Source organism: Homo sapiens, chromosome 6 (assembly GCF_000001405.40).
Source record: "Homo sapiens chromosome 6, GRCh38.p14 Primary Assembly".
Lineage (NCBI taxonomy): Eukaryota > Metazoa > Chordata > Mammalia > Primates > Hominidae > Homo > Homo sapiens.
Window position 1 is genome coordinate 31,596,101 of NC_000006.12, and position 21,607 is coordinate 31,617,707.

A 21,607-nucleotide genomic window follows, 5' to 3' on the forward strand; every position below is an offset into this window, starting at 1 on the left:
GCCTAGGCTAGAGTGCAGTGGCACAATCACGGCTCACTGCAGCTTCAACCTCATGGGCTCACACCATCTTCCCACCTCAGCCTCCTGAGTAGCTGCCACACACCACCATGCCTAGATAATTTTTGTATTTTTTGTAGAGACAGGGTCTTACCATGTTGTCCAGGCTGGTCTCAAACTCCTGGGCTCAAGTGATTTGCCCACTCGACCTCTCAAAGTACTGGGATTACAAGCATGAGCCACTGCGCTTGGCCAACCTCAGCTCTACAAAAAAGAAAAAAAAAGTCCAGGCACAGTGGCTGACTCCTGTCATCCCAGCACTTTGGGAGGCCAAGGAGGGCAGATCACTTGAGGTCGTTAGTTCAAGACCAACCTGACCAACATGGAGAAACCCCGTCTCTACTAAAAATACAAAATTAGTCGGGCGTGGTGGCGCATGCCGGTAATCCCAGCTACTCGGGAGGCGGAGGCAGGAGAATCACTGGGAGACGGAGGTAGTGGTGAACTGGGATCGTGCCATTGTACTCCAGCTTGGGCAACAAGAACAAAACTCTGCCTAAATAAATAAATAGATAAAATTAGCCAGGTGTGCTGGTGTGTTCCAGTAGTCTTAGCTACTTGGGAGGCTGAAGCAGGAGAATCACTTGAGCCCAGGATTTCGAGGCTGCAGTGAGCTATGATCTTGCCACTGCACTCCAGCCTGAATGACAGGGTGAGACCCTGTCTCAAAAAAAAAAAATCACTACTGACAGATCATAACAGATAAAATAATCAAGAAAAAGTTTGAAATATTGCAAGAATTACCAAAATGTGCCACTGAGACACAAAGTGAGCACAGGCTATTGGAAAAGTGGCACCTACAGACTTGCTCAACACAGGGTTGCCACAAACTTCAATATATAAAAAAATGCACATCTGTGGAACACAATAAAACAAGGTAATACCTCTACAGGGATTGGTACAAGAGTATGCCAGACACTCTTGTATGTGTATCACACAGCTACAGGAGATAATACAGCACATAGAAGTGAAGGATGACATGTAATATGCCATGTGTCCACCCCTTACCGCATGCCCCCTTCTGGCTCCTTTTACTATTACATTTTTTAGAGACAAGGGTCTCACTCTATCACTCAAGCAGGAATACAGTGGTGTGATCATTGCTCACTGCAGCCTCGATCTCCTGGACTCAAGCAATCCTCCTGCCTCAGCCTCCCAAGTAGCTTGGAATACTGGTATGTGCCATCACACCTGACTTTTTACTTTTATTTATTTTTGAAAGACAGCATCTTGCTATGTTGTCCAGGTCTCAAACTCCTGGTCTGGCTCCTTTTATTTATTTTATTTATTTATTTATTTTGAGATGGAGTCTTGTTCTTGTTGCCCAGGCTGGAGTGCAATGGCTCAATCTCAGCTCACTGCAACCTCTGCCTCCCGGGTTCAAGCGATTCTCCTGCCTCCGCCTCCCGAGTAGCTGGGAGTACAGACGTGCGCCACCACACCCAGCTAATTTTTGTATTTTTAGTAGAGACTGAGTTTCACCATGTTGGCCAGGCTGGTCTCAAACTCCTGACCTTGTGATCCGCCCGCCTTGGCCTCCCAAAGTGCTGGGATTACAGGCGTGAGCCACCGCGCCCAGCCTGGCTCATTTTATATGAATACATGTTGTTGTTGTTGCTGTTGTTGTTGTGAGACAGTCTCGTTCAGTCGCCCAGGCTGGAGTGCAGTGGCACAATCTTGGCTCATTGCAACCTCTGCTTCCCAGGCTCAAGCGATTCACGTGCCTCAGCCTCCCGAGTATCTGGGTTCACAGGCGTGTGCCACCACACTCGGCTAATTTTTGTGTTTTTAGTACTGACGGAGTTTTGCCATGTTGGCCAGGCTGGTCTTAAACACCTGGCCTTAAGTGATCCACCCGCCTTGGCCTCCCAAAGTGCTGGGATTACAGGTGTGAGCCACCACACCTGACCTAATATATGTTTTTTCCTTTGTATCTGTGTTTCTAGCTCTGTGTCACAGTACTTTTGTAGACTGTCCAGTTCCCACCCATCACTGAAGTAATTCAGAGCTTTCTTTTGGAGAAGCAGTCATCTCATGGTTAAGAATGCTGGTTTGGAATGAGTCTAGGTTCAAATGTCAGCTCCCCCGCAATCCCCACAATTATGTTATACAACCTTTTTTTTTTTGAGACAGGGTCTCACTCTGTCAACCATTCTGGAGTGCAGCGGTGTGATCATATGATCATAGCTCCCCGTGGCCTTGAACTTTGAACTCCTGAGCTCAAGTGACCCTCCCACGTCAGCCTCCAGAGTATTTGGGACTACAGACACACATCATCACGTTTGGCTCACTTATTTTTATTTTTTGTACAGACAGAGTCTCACCGTGTTGCCCAGGCTGATCTAAAACTCCTGGCCTAAAGCAATCCTCCCACTTCGGCCTCCCAAAGTGCTGGGATTACAGGTGTGAGCCACTGTGCCCAGTCTAATCTTGAACAAATTATTTTACCTCCCTAAGCTACCGGAACAACCACACATGCCACACAACCTGGGAAGGACCAACTCAGCCATTCTCCAGCAGCGAAGTGGCTGCCACCCCAGGGATATCTAACTAGAGGATGTGGGATGGAGGCGTCATGGCAAGGCAAGGCCTGCCCCCTGGTGGTCAGAGAGCATGGGAGGCCCGAGCTACCAATGGTGGCTTTTCTCAACTGGGCCTTGATTCCAGCTTCTGCCCGATCCCCTACCTTGCTTGCCTCCTTCTATCAACACCCCATTCACACCCCAAAGGATCAATATAGGAAAAATTGTCTCTACTATCTCAGCTGTAAGAAGCCCACGGTTTGGGGAGGGAGAAGAGGTCACCACCAGTGGGGACGTGGAATAAGTAACTGGCTGGGGATAAAACTCCACTCTTCCGGCCGGGAGCAGTGGCCCACGCCTGTAATCCCAGCACTTTGGGTGGCCGAGGTGGGCAGATCACCTGAGGTCGGGAGTTCGAGACCAGTCTGGCCAACATGGTGAATCCCCATCTCTACTAAAAATACAAAACTTAGCCAGACGTGGTGGTGCGTGCCTGTAATCCCAGCTACTTGGGTGGCTGAGGCACGAGAATCACTTGAATCCAGGAGGCGGAGGTTGCAGTGAGCCAACATTGTGCCACTGCACTCCAGCCTGGGCAACGAGCAAAACTCCGTCTCAAAAAAAAAAAAAAACAAACTCCACTCTTCCACAGTGTACACTCAATCACATGGTTCTACTCCACGTCCCAAGGCAATGTGGCTTAGAAGACAAATCAGCCTAGGTTGGAGTCCTGGTGCCACTACTGTAAACTGGGGGTACCACCTGTAAACTTCCAGACCCCATTGCCCTAGGTGTTCAATGTGTGGTTCTTCTCCAGTGCTTCCCCCGTCCTGTGCAAGGGTGGCAGTGCCATTGCTACACCTGGACTCAAGGGCATCCTGCTCTCCCAGCTCTTTTCTATATCTAAGACTTCTAAACATTTGTCATAGCTAAAAATGTTCCAGATTCCAAAGACAGTATGTGGGGTTTTTTTTTCAGTCCATCTAGAATAAATCCTGATATGTGTGTACATTCAAGGGACCCCTTTTAATAACTCTGAGAACCTCTAGGGAAGGCTAACCTGCAAGACAGGAACTGCTGCGCTAATCAGCACAGTGGGCACAAGAATGGAACTTTTTTTTTCTTTTTTTTTTCTTGAGACAGAGTCTTGTTCTGTTACCCAGGCTAGAGTGCAGTGGTGCGATCTCGGCTCACTGCAACCTCCGCCTCCCGGGTTCAAGAGATTCTCCTGCCTCAGCCTCCTGAGTAGCCAGGATTACAGGCACCCACTACCATGCCCAGCTAATTTTCATATTTTTAGTAGAGACGGGGTTTCACTATCTTGGCCAGGCTGGTCTTGAACTCCTGACCTCGTGATCCACCCACGTCGGCCTCCCAAAGTGCTGGGATTACAGGCGTGAGCCACTGCATCCATCCTGGCCAAGGATGGAACTTTTCTAAAGAAATTATTCCCAGGCACTCAAGAGGAAAGGCAACAAATAAAACAGTGTTGAAGTGGATGTGCACTGGTCTCTGTTTTTGTGTGTGTTTTTTTTGTTTTTTTTTTTTTGAGAGGGAGTCTCGCTCTGTCGCCCAGGCTGGAGTGCAGTGGTGTGATTTCCGCTCACTGCAACCTCTGCCTCCCGGGTTCAAGCGATTCTCCTGCCTCAGCCTCCCAAGTAGCTGGGACTACAGCGCCTGTCACCATGCCTGGCTAACTTTTTTGTATTTTTACTAGAGACAGGGTTTCACCATGTTGGCCAGGCTGGTTTTGAACTCCTGACCTCAAGTGATCCACCTGCTTCAGCCTCCCAAAGTGCTAGGATTACAGGCGTGAGCCGCCGCACCCAGTCTCTGGTCTGACTTCTTTAACAACAAGCTGTGGGCTGGCTGGATGTAGTTGAGGCCAATAAACTCCCAACTCAGACCATGAAAACAGGTGAAAACACAAAAGTCCACAATCCAGCACAGGTGATCTCATCTTTCCCCCACCCCCACCAGGGTTCCTCTACGTGCTGGCAGGGGTGAGATTGGGTGACTTCTCTGGCCAAGTCTTATCAATATTTTTCAACTAATGAATGGCTCCCAGGTGATGATACTTTCAGCTTCTGAGAACAGCTTCTCCTCTGAGGCTCATAGCATCTGACCTCACGACCTTCAATCTCTCCTTGGTGTCGTCCACTCGCCCTCACATTCATCAAGAGCCCATCCCTGACTCTGCAGCCTCTTCTCTATTTATTTTTTCTTTCTTTTTTCTTTTTTCTTTTTTTTTTTTTTTGAGACAGAGTTTTGCTGTTGTTGCTGGAGTGCAATGGCGTGATCTTGGTTCACCGCAACCTCTGCCTCCCAGGTTCAAGCGATTCTCCTGCCCCAGCCTCCAGAGTAGCTGGGATTACAGGCACCTGCCACCATGCCAGGCTAATTTTTGTATTTTTAGTAGAGAAAAGGTTTCACCATGTTAGCCAGGCTGGTCTCGAACTCCAGACCTTGTGATCCGCCCACCTCGGCCTCCCAAAGTGCTGGGATTATAGGCGTGAGCCACCATGCCCAGCCCACTTCCTCTCTATTTCAACCTCTGCCAACTCCTTAATGGACTTAATGTCCATATGAATGACTTTTTTTTTTTTTTTTTTTGAGAGAGAGTCTTGCTCTGTCACCCAGGCTGGAGTGCAGTGGCGTGATCTCGGCTCCCTGCAAGCTCCACCTCCTGGGTTCACGCCATTCTCCTGCCTCAGCCTCCCTAGTAGCTGGGACTACAGGCACCAGCCACCATACCTGGCTAATTTTTTTGTATTTTTTAGTAGAGACAGGGTTTCACCATGTTAGCCAGGATGGTCTCAATCTCCTGACCTCGTGATCCACCTGCCTCGGCCTCCCAAAGTGCTGGGATTACAGGCGTGAGCCACCGTGCCCAGCCATAAATGACATTTTTAAACATTGATATATAATTTCATACAGTAAAATGCACAGATCTTAATGTACAGTTTGATGACCTTTGGCCAATATGTACACCCATGCAACCACACTGTAATAGAGATATAGATAATTCTCATTATCCTGGAAAATTCCTCCATGCCCCTTTTTGGTAAATCCCTTTCCCCTCCTAGATGCAACCATTTTACCATTTTTAACCTCTGTAGACTTTTTTCTTGGGACAGAGTCTTGCTCTGTTACCCAGGTTGGAATGCAGTAGTGCAATTATAGTTCACTGCTGCCTTGACCTCCTGGGCTCAAGCCATCCTCCCACCTCAGTCTCCTGAGTAGCTACGACTACAGGCATATGCCACCGCACCCAGCTAATTTTTTAACAGTTTTTTTGTAGGCTGGGTGCAGTGGTTTAGGCCTATAATCCTAGCACTTTGGGAGGCCGAGGCAGGGGGATCACAAGGTCAGGAGCTCAAGACCATGCTGGCTAACACAGTGAAACCCCGTCTCTACTAAAAATACAAAAAAAAAAAAAAAAATCAGCCGGGCGTGGTGGCACATGCCTATAGTCCCAGCTACTCGGGAGGCTGAGGCAGGAGAATTGCTTGAACCTGGGAGGCAGAGGTTGCAGTGAGCCGAGATCGCGTCATTGCACTCCAGCCCGGGTGACAGAGCAAGACTCTGTCTCAAAAAAAAAAAAAAAATTTTTTTTTGTAGAGACGAGGTCCTTCTATGTTGCCCAGACTGGATTCTAACTCCTGGGCTCAAGTGATCCTCCTGCCTTGACCTCTCTAAGTGTTGGGATTACAGGCCTGAGCCACTGCGCTCGGCCTCTATAGATTAGTCTGTTCTTGAACATCATATTAATGGAGTCATATAGTACATACTCTTGTATCTGGCTCCTTTCATTCTGCTTAATGTCTGTGAGATTCGCCCACGCTGTTGTATGTATCAGTGTTTCATTCCTTTTTTTTGCTGAGTGGTAATCCTTTATATGATGTAGCACAGCTTGTTGATCTATTCACCTGATGAAGTACAATTGGGTTGTTTCTATTTTTTGTTTTTCTTATTATGGCTCAATCTGCTATGAAACTTCTTGTACCCATCTCGCAAATGCCTTTTCAATACCCTAAGTGTGCAACTTCACAGTTATTTCACCTTGTCCACTCCAATCATCACCTTGACTCTCCATGACCTACATCTCAGATCCTGTCACCATGGAAGCTGTTTCACTTTGAAATCTCACCTCCTCTTTCCCAAGGACATAAAAGCCATCCAACCTGAGTCCCCCAGACTCCTGTACCCTAAACGTGTGCTTTTATACCACTGTCCTGTTGGAAAATTTTTGGGTTGTTTCTCCCACTTTTTTTTTTTTTTTTTTTTGAGACAGAATTTTGCTCTTGTTGCCCAGGCTGGAGTGCAATGGTGCGATCTCGGCTCACTGCAACCTCCGCCTCCTGCGTTCAAGTGATTCTTCTGCCTTAGCCTCCCAAGTAGCTGGGATTACAGGCATGTGCCACCACACCCAGCTAATTTTGTATTTTTGGTAGAGATGGGGTTTCACCATGTCGGTCAGGCTGGTCTCGAACTCCTGACCTCAAGTGATCCGCCTGCCTCGGCCTCCCAAAGTGCTGGGATTATAGGCATGAGCTAGCACCCCTGGCCCCACTTTCTTTTTAAAAAGTGTTATTATATATTTTTTATTATATATATTTTTGAGATGAGATCTCACTATGTTGCCCAGGCTAGTCTCAAAGTCCTGACTCCGGGCTTTAGGTGTTCCTCCGACCTCAGCCTTTCACGTAGCTGGGATTATAGGCATGCACCTGGCTTCCCACTTTCATTCAATAAATTTTGCGCATCTACCATGGCTTTCCTAGGCAATCCTGTCATAGCCACAGTTGTCACTACTGCTTATTCTCTGTCAAGTCCCCAATCTACATCTCCCCCTCAGGCCTCTTTCTTGAGACCTAAGTCCACACTATCTAACTGCTCTCTAGGCGGCTTACCCTGAATACTCCACAGGCATTTCAAAGTCATCAGTGTCCACTCAGACCAGGTCAGCCTCCTGTCATCCCTGTCCCAGTGAATGGAAACACAAAGCCCCAGTCACTTAAGGCAAACACCTGGGATTCATCCTACTCTGCCTTCTCCCTCAGTTCCCCCATCCAAAAGATCTCCAGGCCCTGTCCATTTTGCTTCTGAAAGATCGCAGGTGTCTTTCCCTTGCTCTTCATTCCACTGGTTGCTAAATCCCTCATCAACTCAAGGGGAAACGAGCAGAGTTGCTTCTCTGATGGGTAGTGTGGTTTCTGCACAGCATCCCCTTCATCCCACCACTGCTGGGCATTGAGGTTCATTCATCTATTCAGCATTGCTCTTCACGAGGGCCTTCCATGGGCCAGACACCCTATCTTCATCTCTCTTAATCGCTCTTTTCAGTATCTCTCTCCTTATCTCTCATATTTCCCACAGCTCTGTCCACAACTCTTTCTGTCTCACCATGTTATTCATATTACTTGTTTCTTCCCCCGTGTCCACTCAAACGCCACATCTCTACACACCCCTACCCCTCTGCCTCTCTGTCACATGCATACACACTTCTGCTTATTCACTCATTCAACAAATATTCAGCGAGCACCTTCCACGTGAGACATTCTATTTTTTTTCTTTTTTTTTTTTTGCGCTCTCAGCTCACTGTAACCTCCACCTCCCAGGTTCAAATGATTCTCCTGCCCCAGCCTCCAGAGTAGCTGGGATTACAGGCACATGCCACCACCCCTGGCTAATTTTTGTATTTTTAGTAGAGATGGGGTTTTGCCATGTTGGCCAGGCTGGTCTTGAACTCCTGGCCTCAAGTGATCCACCTGCCTCAGCCTCCCAAAGTGCTGGGATTACAGGTGTGAGCTGCCGTGTCTGGTCTGCCTCTCCGTCTTTCTCTCTCTCTGTCTTCCTCCATCTCTCTTCGCATCGCTTTCTGCCTCCCCATCATTCTCCATGTTTTCCCTTCCCATCTCTCCCCATCTACATACCTTATTCTTTTACTCCATTTCTCTTCCTTCCCCATTTCTCTCTGGGTGAGAGAATGAAGGAAGGCTAGTGACTAGTCACCTCTTCCCTTTAGGGGCCAGAGTTCAGGCCTGCCTCAGCTCTGCCAGGCTGGTTGGCACTACTCTTGTTTGCCCTTGGAGTCTCTGCACAAGGATGCTTAAAAAAAAAAGTTTAGGCCAGGCACAGTGGCTACCGCTTGTAATCCCAACACTTTGGGAGGCCGAGGAGGGTGCATCACGAGGTCAGGAGTTCGAGACCAGCCTGACCAATATGGTGAAACTCCGTCTCTACTAAAAATACAAAAAGTAGCCAGGCGTGGTAGCATGCACCTGTAATCCCAGCTACTCAAGAGAAGAATCGCTTGAACCCAGGAGGCAGAGGTTGCAGTGGGCCAAAATCACGCCACTGCACTCCAGTCTGGGCGACAGAGTGAGACTCCATCTCAAAAAAAAAAAAAAATTTGTGCAGCAGCGACAGAAAAGTAACCTACAATATTAGAGGAAGACTCACATCTCTCAGAAACTATATATTAAGCAGGCAAAAAAATTATTAAAGACAACGGGTGCGGTGGCTCATGCCTGTAATCGCAGCACTTTGGGAGGCTGAGGAGGGTGGATCACGAGGTCAGGAGGTCAAGGCTATCCTGGCTAACACGGTGAAGCCCCATCTCTACTGAAAATACAAAAAATTAGCCAGGCGTGGTGGCATGCATCTGTAGTCCCAGCTACTAGGGAGGCTGAGGCAGGAGAATCGCTTGAACCTGGGAGGTGGAGGTTGCACTGAGCTGACATCACTTCACTGCACTCCAGCCTGGGTGACAGAGCGAGACTCCATCCCAAAAACAAAACAAAACAAACAAAACACACGCACACACAAAGGTGGGAGTGTTATGTAAGAGAACTGCAGGGGATATTTCCACTCCCAGGCTCAAAGGGGTGAGGGGAGAGAGAGGTTACAGCAGTGGTTCTTAGTTATTTTGTGCCACAGATCCCTTTGGCATTCTAGTAAAGCATAAAATTTAAAAAATATACATACAAAAACAAATCGGCCAGGCGCAGTGGCTCACGCCTGTAATCCCAACACTTTGGGAGGCCGAGGCAGGTGGATCACCCGAGGTCAGGAGTTCGAGAGCAGCCTGGCCAACATGACAAAACCCTGTCTCTACTAAAAACAAAAAATTAGCTAGGCATGGTGGTCGGCGCCTGTAATCTTAACTACCTGGGAGGCTGAGGCAGGAGAATTGCTGGAACCGGGAGGCGGAGGTTGCAGTGAGCCGAGATCACGCCATTGCACTCCAGTCTGGGTGACAGAGCAAGACTCCGTCTCAAAAAAAAAAAATTGCATCGAAATCAAATTCCAGTTATCAAAATATTAATAAAAACTTTCAATAGAGTAAATTGAAACTGTCCCAAGATTGACAAGAATTGCATGCTGGGATCTGGGCAGAAATATAGTTATAATTAAGCATAAACCAGGCTGCACTTTGGCTCACTGCTCTATTCCTGCAAGTCTCCAGATCCTGACCATCTGCATCCCCGTTGTGCTAACATTAGGATGAGAATGTCTCTATATTATGATCCATTGTCTCTATATTTAAAAAAAAAAAAAAAAAGAAGCCAGGCACGGTGACTTACGCCTGTAATCCTGACACTTTGGGAGGCTGAGGAGGGCGGATCACGAGGTCAAGAAATCCAGACCATCCTGGCCAACATGGCAAAACCCTGTCTCTACTAAACATACAAAAAAATTAGCTGGGCTTGGTGGCGCGCATCTGTAGTCCCAGCTACTCAGGAGGCTGAGGCGGGAGAATCTCTTGAACCCATGAGGCAGAGGTTGCAGTGAGCCAAGATCATGCCACTGCACTCCAGCCTGGGTGACAAAGCAAGACTCTATCTAAAAAAAAAAAAAAAAAAGACCAGCACTGTGGCTCACGCCTGTAATCCCAGCACTTTGGGAGGCCAAGGTGGGCAGATCACGAGGTCAAGAGTTTGAGACCAGCCTGGGCAACATAGTGAAACCCCATCTCTACTAAAAATACAAAAAAATAATGGCATGAACCCAGGAAGTGGAGCTTGCAGTAAGCTGAGATCCTGTCACTGCACACCAGCCTGGGCGACAGAGCGAGACTCCGTCTCAAAAAAAAAAAAAAATTGCTGGACGTGGTGGCGGGTGCCTGCAATCCTAGCTACTTGGGAGGCTGAGGCAGGGGTATCACTTGAATCCGGAAGGTGGAGGTTGCAGTGAGCCGAGATCGCGCTACTGCACACCAGCCCGGGCGACAGTGTGAGACTCTGTCTCAAAAAAAAAAAAAAAAAGATAATTAGTCACCATGGCTGGGTGCAGTGGCTCATGTCTGTAATCCCAGCACTTTAGGAGGGCAAGGCAGGTGGATCACCTGAGGTCAGGAGTTCGAGATCAGCCAGAGCCAACATGATGAAACTCCTTCTCTCCTAAAAAATACAAAACTTAGCTGGGCGTGGTGGCGGGCGCCTGTAACCCCAGCTACTCCGGAGGCTGAGGCAGGAGAATTGCTTGAACCCAGGAGGAGGAGGTTGCAGTGAGCTGAGATCATGTCACTGCACTCCAGCCTGGGTGACAGAGAGAGACTCCATCTCAAAAAAAAAAAAAAAAAAAACCTAAGGCGTGGTGGCACATGCCTGTCGTCCCAGCTACTCAGGAGGCTAGGGTGGGAGGATCACTTGAGCCTGGAGGTTGAGGCTGCAGTGAGCCATGACCATGCCACTGCACTCCAGGCTGGGCAACAGAACAAGACGCTGACTCAAAAGGAAGAAAAGAAAGAGAAGAAAAGTCTATCTGGGTATGATGATGACTCCTAATATCTTCTCTCTGGTGGTTGATCTGGTCATTTGATAAGATCTCTAGGCAGGAGGTCTTAAGACAATTGCACTTCTTTTGCAAAGAAGTTTTTTCAGTCAGATAAGGAAATTCCAGAAAGTGTGGTAGGACAATTCTAAGGCAGCTTCTAAGGCCTCTCAGCATTTCAAAGCACCAGTCTTTGGGGTATCACTTTCTGAGCCCCAGCATCTTCTTGCATGTCTATTCTTTTCCCCTCATCTCTGTTTCCTTCTCAGAAGGCCCTGAGTTTCCTTCTCCACCCGCTTGTCTTCCTATATACCCTTCAGTATTCACTTTTTTTGGTGGGGGGGATGGAGTTTCGCTTATTGCCCAGGCTGGAGTGCAATGGCGTGATCTCGGCTCACTGCAATCTCCACCTCCCAGGTTCAAGCGATTCTCCTGCCTCAGCCACCCAAGTAGCTGGGATTACAGGCATGCGCCACCATGCCTGGCTAATTTTGTACATTTAGTAGAAACGGGGTTTCTCCATGTTTGTCGGGCTGATCTCAAACTCCTGACCTCAGGTGATCTGCCTGCCTCGGCCTCCCAAAGTGCTGGGATTACAGGAGTGAGCCACCGCGCCAGGCCTAGTCTTCATTTTTGTCCCACAGTCAGAGCAGCTGTCATTCTCTCTATCCCAGGCAGTTTTTCTGAGCATCTAAGCACTGTCTCACCCCAGTAGTCTGTCAAGCCATTCTCAATGGAAAGACCAGTCTGGGAGGCAGTCTCACTCAGAATAAAAGCCAGAGTCTTTACAAGGCCCTACCCAAGCTGACCTCCTCCTCACCTGGCTTCAGCAGCACAGGCCTCCCTGCTACTCCATGAACACTCCAGATATCCACACTGCTCTCACATCAGGGCCTTTGAACTTGCTGTTCCCTCCACCTGAAATGTTCTTCTCCCATTGTGATATTGTTATAATAAAAATATATATTTTTGGGCCCGGGTGTGGTGGCTCACACCTGTAATCCCAGCACTTTGGGAGGCCGAGGGGGGCAGATCACGAGGTCAGGAGATCAAGACCATCCTGGCTAACATGGTGAAACCTCGTCTCTACTAAAAATACAAAAAAAAATTAGCCGGGTGTGGGGGCAGGCACCTGTAGTCCCAGCTACTCGGGAGGCTGAGGCAGGAGAATGGCGTGAAACCAGGAGGCGGAGCTTGCAGTGAGCCGAGATCGCCACTGCACTCCAGCCTGGGCGACAGAGCGAGACTCCATCCCCCCACAAAAAAAAAGGCCAGGCGCGGTGGCTCATACCTGTAATCCCAACACTTTGGGAGGCCAAGGCGGTCAGATCACAAGGTCAGGAGATCGAGACCATCCTGGCTAACATGGTGAAACCCCGTCTCTACTAAAAACACAAAAAATTAGCCGGGCGTGGTGGCAGGCGCCTGTAGTCCCAGCTACTCAGGAGGCTGAGGCAGGAGAATGGCGTGAACCTGGGAGGTGGAGCTTGCAGTGAGCGGAGATCGCGCCACTGCACTCTAACCTGGGCAACAGAGCAAGACTCCATCTCGGGGAAAAAATAAATAAATATGTATATATATGGGTTGGGTGTGGTGGTTAACACATGTAATCCCAGCACTCTAGAAGGCTGAGACCAGAGGATCACTTGAGCCCAGGAGTTCAAGACCAGCCTGGGCAACCTGGCGAGACTTCATCTCTACAAAAAATTTTAAAATGAGCCAGGCATGGTGGTGCGGGTCCCAGCTGCTTGGGAGGCTGAGATGGAAGGATTGCTTGAGCCCAAGAAGTTGAGGCTGCAGTGAGCTATGATGGTGCCACTGCACTCCAACCTGGATGACAGAACAAGAAACTGTCTCAAAAAAAAAAAAATAAAAAAAAAAAAAAGGTCAGGCACGGTGGCTCAGGCCTGTAATCCCAGCACTTTGGGAGGCCAAGGTGGGAGGATTACTTGAGCCCAGGCAGTCAAGACCAGCCTGGGCAACACAAGGAGACCCTGTCTCTAAAAAAAATTTTAAAAATTAGCCAGGTGTGGTGGCACATGCCTGTAGTCCCAGTTACTCAGGAGGCTGACAAGGGAGGATCGCTTGAGCCTGGGAGGTCAAAGCTGCAGTAGCCATGTTTGTGCCACTGCACTCCAGCCTGGATAACAGAACGAGACCCTGTCTCCCTGTCTCAAAATATTAATGTGTGTGTGCGTGCGTGTGTGTGTGTGTGTGTGTGTGTGTGTTTTGGTCTCCATCCTGGCTCCTGGCCAGACCTCCTAAAGCCCTTGTAATTTCCTAAATGATAAAGTGAAGGGAGCTTTTGTTATTCATAACAAGCTCTTTTCAACCACAACTGAGTTTATGTTAGTAAGTTGACTTTTAGAAAGCCCCTAAGGTTGGGGTTTGTTGCCAAGGTAGGCAACTGTGTGATTAGAGAGTTAGAACTTTTAGCTCCAACCCTCTGACCTCCAACTAATGGCTATTGAATCAAGTATGCCTGCATAATGAAGCCTCCATAAAAAAAAACAAAAAAGATGAGGGTTGGAGAGCTGCCAGGTTGATGAACACATGGAGGTGCAGGGAGGTGCCCAGAGAGGACAAGAAAACTCCAAATCCCCCTTCCCCGATACTTTGTCCGGAGCAACTCTTCCATCTGACTGTTCCTAAGTTTTATCCTTCATAATAAACTAGCTAACATAAGTAAAGTGTTTACCTGAGTTCTGCGTGCTATTCCAGCGAATTACTGAGCCAGAAGAGGGAGTCATAAAAACAGTTAGGAGGCCTGGACTTGTTTGTGATTGGTATCTGGAGTGGGGGCAGCCTTGTAGAACTGAGCCCTTCAACTTGGGGATTAGATAACTGGTAATTATGGGTAGAGTGTCAGAACTGAATTAAACTGCAGGACTCCCAGTTAATATCTACCAAGAACTGAAGAATTGATTGGTGTGGGAGAAGTCTCCACATGATTGGTGTAAGAAGTGGTGTTCTTGGCCAGGCGCAGTGGCTCACGCCTGTAATCCCAGCACTTTGGGAGGCCGAGGCGGGCCGATCATGAGGTCAGGAGATTGAGACCATCCTGGCTAACATGGTGAAACCCTGTCTCTACTAAAAATACAAAAAATTAGCCAGGCATGGTGGCGGGTGCCTGTAGTCCCAGCTACTCGGGAGGCTGAGGCAGGAGAATCACTTGAACCTGGGAGGTGGAGGTTGCAGTGAGCAGAGACTGCACCACTGCACTCCAGCCTGGCCAACAGAGCAAGACTCCATCTCAAAACAAAATAAAACAAACAAACAAAAAAAACTGAGATTCTTTGCAAAGAGCCTGGAATAACTTCCTTTTAGTCCTGGACTATAATGATGATGATAAATATACCTCGATGTAACCCTGAGATCCCAAGATTCACTAGCCCTTGAATAAAAAAAAGGAAAAAGAAAAAAACAGTATATTTTTTCGTTTTGCAAATCACAGTTCCCTTATTAAGATGGAATTGCTGCCAATTACAGAGAAGCTATTTGCCTAAGCCAAAAATCCATGAGGTTCACATGGACTTATAGTTACACAAATTAGAAACAAATGTTATATTTAAAACCATAGAGAAATGCCCAGGTGATGAAAGCTGGGGTGAAGGAGTCTGCACATTCATTTCAAACTGTTAAAGGATTTGTGGGCCATGCAATGGTCCCTTGCATTAGAGAAGTCAAAGAGCTTTGTGCAATCCTCTCCTGTCTGTGATCTGGAAGACACGTGCTCATCACAGAGCTCCAGCTGCTCCGAGACTTTACTCCTTTCTTCAGCTGCACGCACTGCTCTCTCGCTTTTGTTAGGAATTGACTAATTCCTCCTCTTCCTCTTCCTCCTCCTCCTTGCCATCTCTAGGCCCAGTCAGCATCTCTTGTTCATCCTCTGATCCCATGTCCAGCTATGGTTCTGGATTCAACACTAGCAGCAACAGTGGCGCTGACTCCACTTTAGGATCAATAAATATTTTTCTGGCTAGGCGCAGTGGCTCACATCTATAATCTCAGTACTTTGGGAGGCCAAGGTGGGTGGATCACAAGGTCAAGAGATCGAGACCATCTTGGCCAACATGGTGAAACCTCGTCTCCACTAAAATTACAAAAATTAGTTGAACATGGTGGTGCGCACCTGTAGTCCCAGCTACTTGGGAGGCTGAGGCAGGAGAGTCGCTTGAACCCAGGATGTGGAGGTTGAAGTGAGCCAAGATCGCGCCACTGCACTCCAGTCTAGCGACAGATGGAGACTCTGTCTCAAAAAAAAAAAAATAAGTATTTTTCTTTCTAGCCGTATATCCACCTTACATGGTCCCTCAACTCCCCAAGCCCACTCTGCCTGCCCCATCTCCTCCTTCCACATCCTCTCCTCAACCTAGCACTTGGTTGGCAATGCCTTCCTCGATCCTCTGCCAAAGACCCTCTAGCCAGTGCTTACCCTGTCTGTTCTCTCTCTTTACCCAAAGAAATACATAAAGTTTGACCAGAATGGAAACAGAGATATCAGTGAAAAAAGGTGATTTGGGGAAGTGTGCAGGCCTAGGAAGACAGAGGCTTGTTCCTTTGCTTGCTTAAAATCTTTGATCAAACGGCCAGGCGTGGTGGCTCACACCTGTAATCCCAGCACTTTGGGAGGGCGAGGTGGGCGAATCATGAGATCAGGAGTTCAAGACCAGCCTGGCCAACATAGTAAAACCCCGTCTCACTAAAAATACAAAAAATTAGCCAGCTGGGCGTGGTGGCAGGTGCCTGTAATCCCAGCTACTCTGGAGGCTGAGGCAGGAGAATCACTTGAACCCGGGAGGTGGAGGTTGCAGTGAGTGGAGATTGCACCACTGCACTCTAGCCTGAGTGACAGAGTGAGACTCCATCTCAAAAAAAAGAAAAGAAATCTTTGCTCAAATATCACTTTTTCAGAGAACGCTTCTCTAACCACTCTATTTATTTTATTATTTTATTGTATTTTTTGAGACAGGGTCTCACTCTGTTGCCCAGACTGGAGTGTAATGGCACGGTCATGGCTCACTGCAGCCTTGATCTCCTGGGCTCAAGCGATCCTCTCACTTCAGCCTCCCAAGTGGCTAGGACCACAGGCGTAAGCCACCGTGTCTGGCCAGACCACCATATTTAAAACTGGGGACAAGTCAGGCTCACACCTGTAATCCCAGCACTTTGGGAGGCCAAGGTGGGAGGATCACAAGGTTAGGAGTTCAAGACCAGCCTGGCCAACTTGGTGAAACCCCATCTCTACTAAAAATACAAAAATTAGCCGGGTATAGTGGTGATCGCCTGTAATCCCAGCTATTCGTTAGGCTGAGGCAGGAGAATCGCTTGAACCCGGGAGGCAGAGGTTGCAGTGAGCTGAGATTGTGCCACTGCACTCCAGCCTGGGCAACAGAGCGAGATTCTGTCTCAACAAAAAAAGCTGGGTGCAGTGGCTCACGCCTGTAATCCTAGCACTTTGGGAGTCCGAGGTGGGTAGATCACCTAAGGTCAGGAGTTCAAGACCAGCCTGGTCAACATGGTGAAACCCCGCCTCTACAAAAATACAAAAATTAGCTAGGTATGATGGCAGGTGGCTGTAATCCCAGCTACTCGGAAGGCTGAGGCAGGAGAATCGCTTGAACCCAGGAGGCGGAGGTTACAGTGAGCTGAGATCAAGCCATTGCACTCTAGCCTGGGCGACAGAGTGAGACTCCGTTTAAAAAAAAAACAAAAAACAAAAAACAAAAAACTGGGGACCATTGGCAATAATACTCCTATGTCCCCTCTTCCCTACTTTGTTTTCCTCCATAGGCACCTGGCGCCTTTTTTTTTTTTTTTTTTTTTTTTTTGAGACGGAGTCTCACTCTGTTGCCCAGGCTGGAGTGCAATGGCGCGATCTCAGCTCACTGCAACCTCTGCCTCCCGGGTTTAAGCGATTCGCCTGCGTCAGCCTCCTGAGCAGCTGGGATTACAGGCACGCACCACCAGGCCCTGCTAATTTTTGTATTTTTAGTAGAGATGGGGTTTCACCATGTTGGTCAGGCTGGTCTCCAACTCCTGACCTTGTGATCCGCCTGCCCCAGCCTCCCAAAGTGCTGTGATTACAGGCGTGAGCCACTGCGCCTGGCCACCTAGCACCTTTAATATACTTATTTATTTGTATTGTCTGCCTTCCCCAATTAGATCAACCATGAAGACAAGAGTTTTCATTTGTTGGGTTCTCTGGGCCTAGAGGCATGTCTGGCATATAGTAAGCATTCAGTAAATATCTGTTGAGTGAACGTATGAATAAAGAAGTGAGTTCCTCCCAGCAGGCACTGAGAACATTGGGAGTACAGGGTTGCAGCTCTCTCTGCAGCAGGAGAATGTAGCTGCAATAAAGGGAAGTCAAGAAGCCAGAGTCCAGCCAGGTGCAGTGGCTCATGCCTGTAATCCCAGCACTTTGGGAGGCTGAGGTGGGTGGATCACAAGGTCAAGAGATAGAGACCATCCTGGCCAACATGGCGAAACCCCATCTGTACTAAAAATACAAAAATTAGCTGGGCGTGGTGGTGGGCGCCTGTAGTCCCAGCTACTCAGGAGGCTGAGGTAGGAGAATTGCTTGAACCCAGGAGGCAGTGGTTGCAGTGAGCCGAGATTGCACCATTGCACTCCCGCCTGGGCGACAGAGCAAGACTCCGACTCAAAAAAAAAAAAAAAAGCAGCAGCAGCAGCCAGAGGCCACTCCAGCATCTCCCCTACCTGGCTTGGGTCAGGGAGAGGGCAGTGAGAAGTGAAAACTCCCAGCTACAGAAAAGGAAATATGTTGGGGGGAAGGGAGAAGGAAAGGTGTCTTCATCAATGCCGGGGCAGGGTAGATGGAGCCCTGGGCAGGGAGTTTGGACCAGGAAATCTCAATGAGGGAAATGTGCTGTCCTCACCTCTCCAAGAAGCGACTGGCCAAACAGAGTGACAGAGGGGATAAAGGTTATGCCTAGGGAGGCATGTGTCAGAGGCTATCATCCACTCTGTTGAACCCACAGTGACCAGCACCACCATCACACAAACATGCCTGCATGTGTGCACGCACGTGCAGTGTGCAAACCTGATGTCAGCCTCACTCCCTGGCTCTTCTGTCCACAAACGCTGTTTCTTTAAGTACCACTTTCAGTTCCTCCAAAGAATCTACTTAAACTCTTAAATTCCTGATCTCTATAGATTTTACTAAAGATTTCAAAGGAGATAAGATGAGAGGGTTACGTTGCACATTCTAAAGCAAACAAATTAAAATGTTTTGTTAGACATTTCCATATTTTTAAGGGCCTCCTTGGAGCTGCCAGGCTGGGAGTGAGGTTTCTCTCCCTTTCTAAACCCTGTGCCCATCTTGTCACCCTCCTGGAGCTGCCAGCAGACTTCAGATTCTTCTCCGATCTACAGAGCAGAAAAATTCAGCCAGCCCTTCCTTGTCTTCCTATCCACAGCTGCCTGCCCAGACTCATGAAACCTGACAAAATGCAAGGTCTTATCATTACCTGAACCTTGGACCTGTTCAAAAATACTAGTTCCTGAGAATAAATATCCCTGGTGTCTTCCTGCCCTTCCTGCACACCTCCAGTGGCTTATCAAAATATTTGTTTCATGCGCACACTGGGCTCTCATTTAAGAGGAATTTGGGAGAATGTTATTTTCTAATCTGCATTTCACACCAGGCTCCCCCTCCTTCCTGGGGTGCTAGTGTCAGCAGAACCTGATGGGGAAGTGAGGTCTGGGAGGCAGAGGAGGAAGGAATGAGGGGAAAGGGGAAGTTTGGGAGGAAGGCTTCTGAGAAGACTGGTGGGAGAGAAGGAGAGCCTGCAGACAGAGGCCTCCAGCTTGGTCTGTCTCCCCACCTCTACCAGCATCTGCTGAGCTATGAGCCAAACCAGGGATTTACAGGGTAGGGAGGGTGGGATAGGCAGCGGCATTAGATCGGAGGAATGAGATGGACAGACCTGGGCTGTGGGCTAGGAGGGCAGTCAGCTGGCCTAGGGTAGCCCGGGCTGGTGTCAGGGTAAGGAGAGGAAGGGAGGGATGAGGGCTGATTAATTTTTTTCACCCCACAGGAGGAAAAGCTTTCGGACTGCTGAAGGCCCAGCAGGAAGAGAGGCTGGATGAGATCAACAAGGTAGAAGGAAGAACTAAGGGGGCAGAGCCAGGGGGATGGGGCGTGGATGGGGAGGGCCTACCCTGGCTCTTATTTTCCCCTCCATAGCAATTCCTAGACGATCCCAAATATAGCAGTGATGAGGATCTGCCCTCCAAACTGGAAGGCTTCAAAGGTGAGGGGGAAACTGTAGGCGGTGGAGACAGGGCTGGGGGTAGGAGGGTTAGGATTTCCACAAGAACAAGGCAGGAACAGCAGAGATAAAAAGTTTACTTTTGTGGTAGCAAAAGGGGAACCTGCCTTTATTGCCCTCCTGCCACACTGCGGTCCCTTTCCCGGGCCTGCCTCTCTCAGCATCCCCTCTAGCTCCTTACACCCTAGCGGGGCCCCTCAACTCCCCAACCCCACTTCCTCTGCCTGCCCCTCCTCCTCCTTCCACGTTGTCTCCTCCACCTAGCAGTTGGTTGGCAACCCCTTCCTCAGTCCCCTGCTGAAAACCCTCCAGTCAGCGCTTATCCCTTCTGCTCTCTCCCCTCACCCAGAGAAATACATGGAGTTTGACCTTAATGGAAATGGCGATATTGGTGAGAAACGGGTGATTTGCGGGGGCAGGGTGGTGTGCAGGCCTAAGAAGACAGAGGTCTCTCCTACATGCTCCATTCCTCATGATTTGGGAGGGGGCCCACCTACCACAGTGGGAGGAAGGAGAATGGGGATGCGGAAGTGGGAGAGGAGAGAGAGGGTCTCCCCACCTTCTCCCCATCCCCATCCTCTGCCCCCAGATATCATGTCCCTGAAACGAATGCTGGAGAAACTTGGAGTCCCCAAGACTCACCTAGAGCTAAAGAAATTAATTGGAGAGGTGTCCAGTGGCTCCGGGGAGACGTTCAGCTACCCTGACTTTCTCAGGATGATGCTGGGCAAGAGATCTGCCATCCTAAAAATGTGAGTGTCAATTTCCAACCTCCCCTGTACTTACCTGTTTTCTCCTCCCCCATCCCTACCCTTGTCCACAGGCTCAACATTTCTACACGTTGCCCATCATCCCTTCTTCCATCCTTAGAGGGACCCTTCCAAGGTCCCGACCCCATCCCTATCCATAGTCCTGGTCCCCAGAAACTCCAACCCCTGCCCTTCCTCTTCCCCCTTCCACCCTCACATCCCCATCCCCTTCTAGCCTTTCCTAGCACCCTATGATTTATTCCCTTGAGAGGAGTGTTCCCTGATCCCTGTGCCTCTTCCCATCTCAACCAGGATCCTGATGTATGAGGAAAAAGCGAGAGAAAAGGAAAAGCCAACAGGCCCCCCAGCCAAGAAAGCTATCTCTGAGTTGCCCTGATTTGAAGGGAAAAGGGATGATGGGATTGAAGGGGCTTCTAATGACCCAGATATGGAAACAGAAGACAAAATTGTAAGCCAGAGTCAACAAATTAAATAAATTACCCCCTCCTCCAGATCAAGTCAGCTTAGTTTTTATTTGGGTGATTTTTTTCCTGGGTTTGGGAAGGAGAGACAGGTCTTGAGGGAAAGGTGGCAAGGATTTGGCCATATGAACAATCCATCAACAACGCTATAGTGTGTCCACTACAGCAGATGGTTTCACGCACCAAGGGGGATTCCAGCTGTGTAAGACAGCCTTAACCTCAAAGAATGCAGGCAGGTCAAAAACACATGTCCAAACAAGGTACTCAGGCCCATGACAGATTTCATGAAGAGCAAGGAATACCATGAACCAACATTCTCCACCACTATAAGCTTTGTCACTTTGACAAATCACTCAGCCTCTGTGAGGCTTTTTTCTAAAAATGGGGATAAAGTGACCTATGCTATTGTGCCTGACATATCATAAGCCCTCAATAATGTTTAAAACTTGAATGAGCCGGGGCCGATGGCTTATGCCTGTAATCCCAGCACTTTGGGAGGATGGGGTGGGCAGATCACCTGAGGTCAGGAGTTCGAGACCAGCCTGACGAACATGAAGAAACCCCGTCTCTACTAAAAATACAAAATTAGCCTGGTGTGGTGGCGCATGCCTGTAATCCCAGCTACTTGGGAAGCTGAGGCAGGAGAATCTCTTGAACCCAGGAGGTGGAGGTTGTGGTGATCCGAGATCGCATCATTGCACTCCAGCCTGGGCAACTAAAAA

At 48.7% G+C, this 21,607-nt stretch overlaps 1 protein-coding gene and 1 pseudogene across 4 annotated transcripts, besides 4 other annotated features; one reads left to right on the forward strand and one right to left on the reverse strand.

The window, feature by feature from the left end:
* Positions 1,129–1,629: an enhancer, noted in NCBI's record as "H3K4me1 hESC enhancer chr6:31565006-31565506 (GRCh37/hg19 assembly coordinates)". NCBI's record gives its function as "activates a minimal SCP1, AML or CMV promoter by ChIP-STARR-seq in primed H9 embryonic stem cells {active_cell/tissue: H9 hESC(primed)}" and the evidence as "EXISTENCE:reporter gene assay evidence [ECO:0000049][PMID:30033119]".
* Positions 1,630–2,130: an enhancer, noted in NCBI's record as "H3K4me1 hESC enhancer chr6:31565507-31566007 (GRCh37/hg19 assembly coordinates)". NCBI's record gives its function as "activates a minimal SCP1, AML or CMV promoter by ChIP-STARR-seq in primed H9 embryonic stem cells {active_cell/tissue: H9 hESC(primed)}" and the evidence as "EXISTENCE:reporter gene assay evidence [ECO:0000049][PMID:30033119]".
* UQCRHP1 (ubiquinol-cytochrome c reductase hinge protein pseudogene 1) lies at positions 14,983–15,256 on the reverse strand (annotated as a pseudogene).
* On the forward strand, positions 19,134–20,915 carry AIF1 (allograft inflammatory factor 1). 4 transcript variants are annotated; one of them, NM_001623.5, is made up of 6 exons: positions 19,134–19,254; positions 19,421–19,482; positions 19,570–19,636; positions 20,004–20,045; positions 20,244–20,406; positions 20,716–20,915. In NM_001623.5, exons 1-6 carry the CDS (start codon positions 19,230–19,232, stop codon positions 20,798–20,800), a joined length of 444 nt encoding a protein of 147 aa, NP_001614.3. In that variant the 5' UTR covers positions 19,134–19,229; the 3' UTR covers positions 20,801–20,915. The 4 variants fall into 4 exon arrangements, with proteins under 4 accessions (NP_001614.3, NP_001305899.1, XP_005248927.1 ...); NM_001318970.2 differs by having other exon boundaries at positions 19,134–19,193; XM_005248870.5 differs by lacking the exon at positions 20,716–20,915 and having other exon boundaries at positions 20,004–20,410.
* Positions 19,399–19,899: an enhancer, noted in NCBI's record as "H3K27ac hESC enhancer chr6:31583276-31583776 (GRCh37/hg19 assembly coordinates)". NCBI's record gives its function as "activates a minimal SCP1, AML or CMV promoter by ChIP-STARR-seq in primed H9 embryonic stem cells {active_cell/tissue: H9 hESC(primed)}" and the evidence as "EXISTENCE:reporter gene assay evidence [ECO:0000049][PMID:30033119]".
* Positions 19,900–20,400: an enhancer, noted in NCBI's record as "H3K27ac hESC enhancer chr6:31583777-31584277 (GRCh37/hg19 assembly coordinates)". NCBI's record gives its function as "activates a minimal SCP1, AML or CMV promoter by ChIP-STARR-seq in primed H9 embryonic stem cells {active_cell/tissue: H9 hESC(primed)}" and the evidence as "EXISTENCE:reporter gene assay evidence [ECO:0000049][PMID:30033119]".
* Positions 20,916–21,607: the final 692 nt, after the last annotated feature.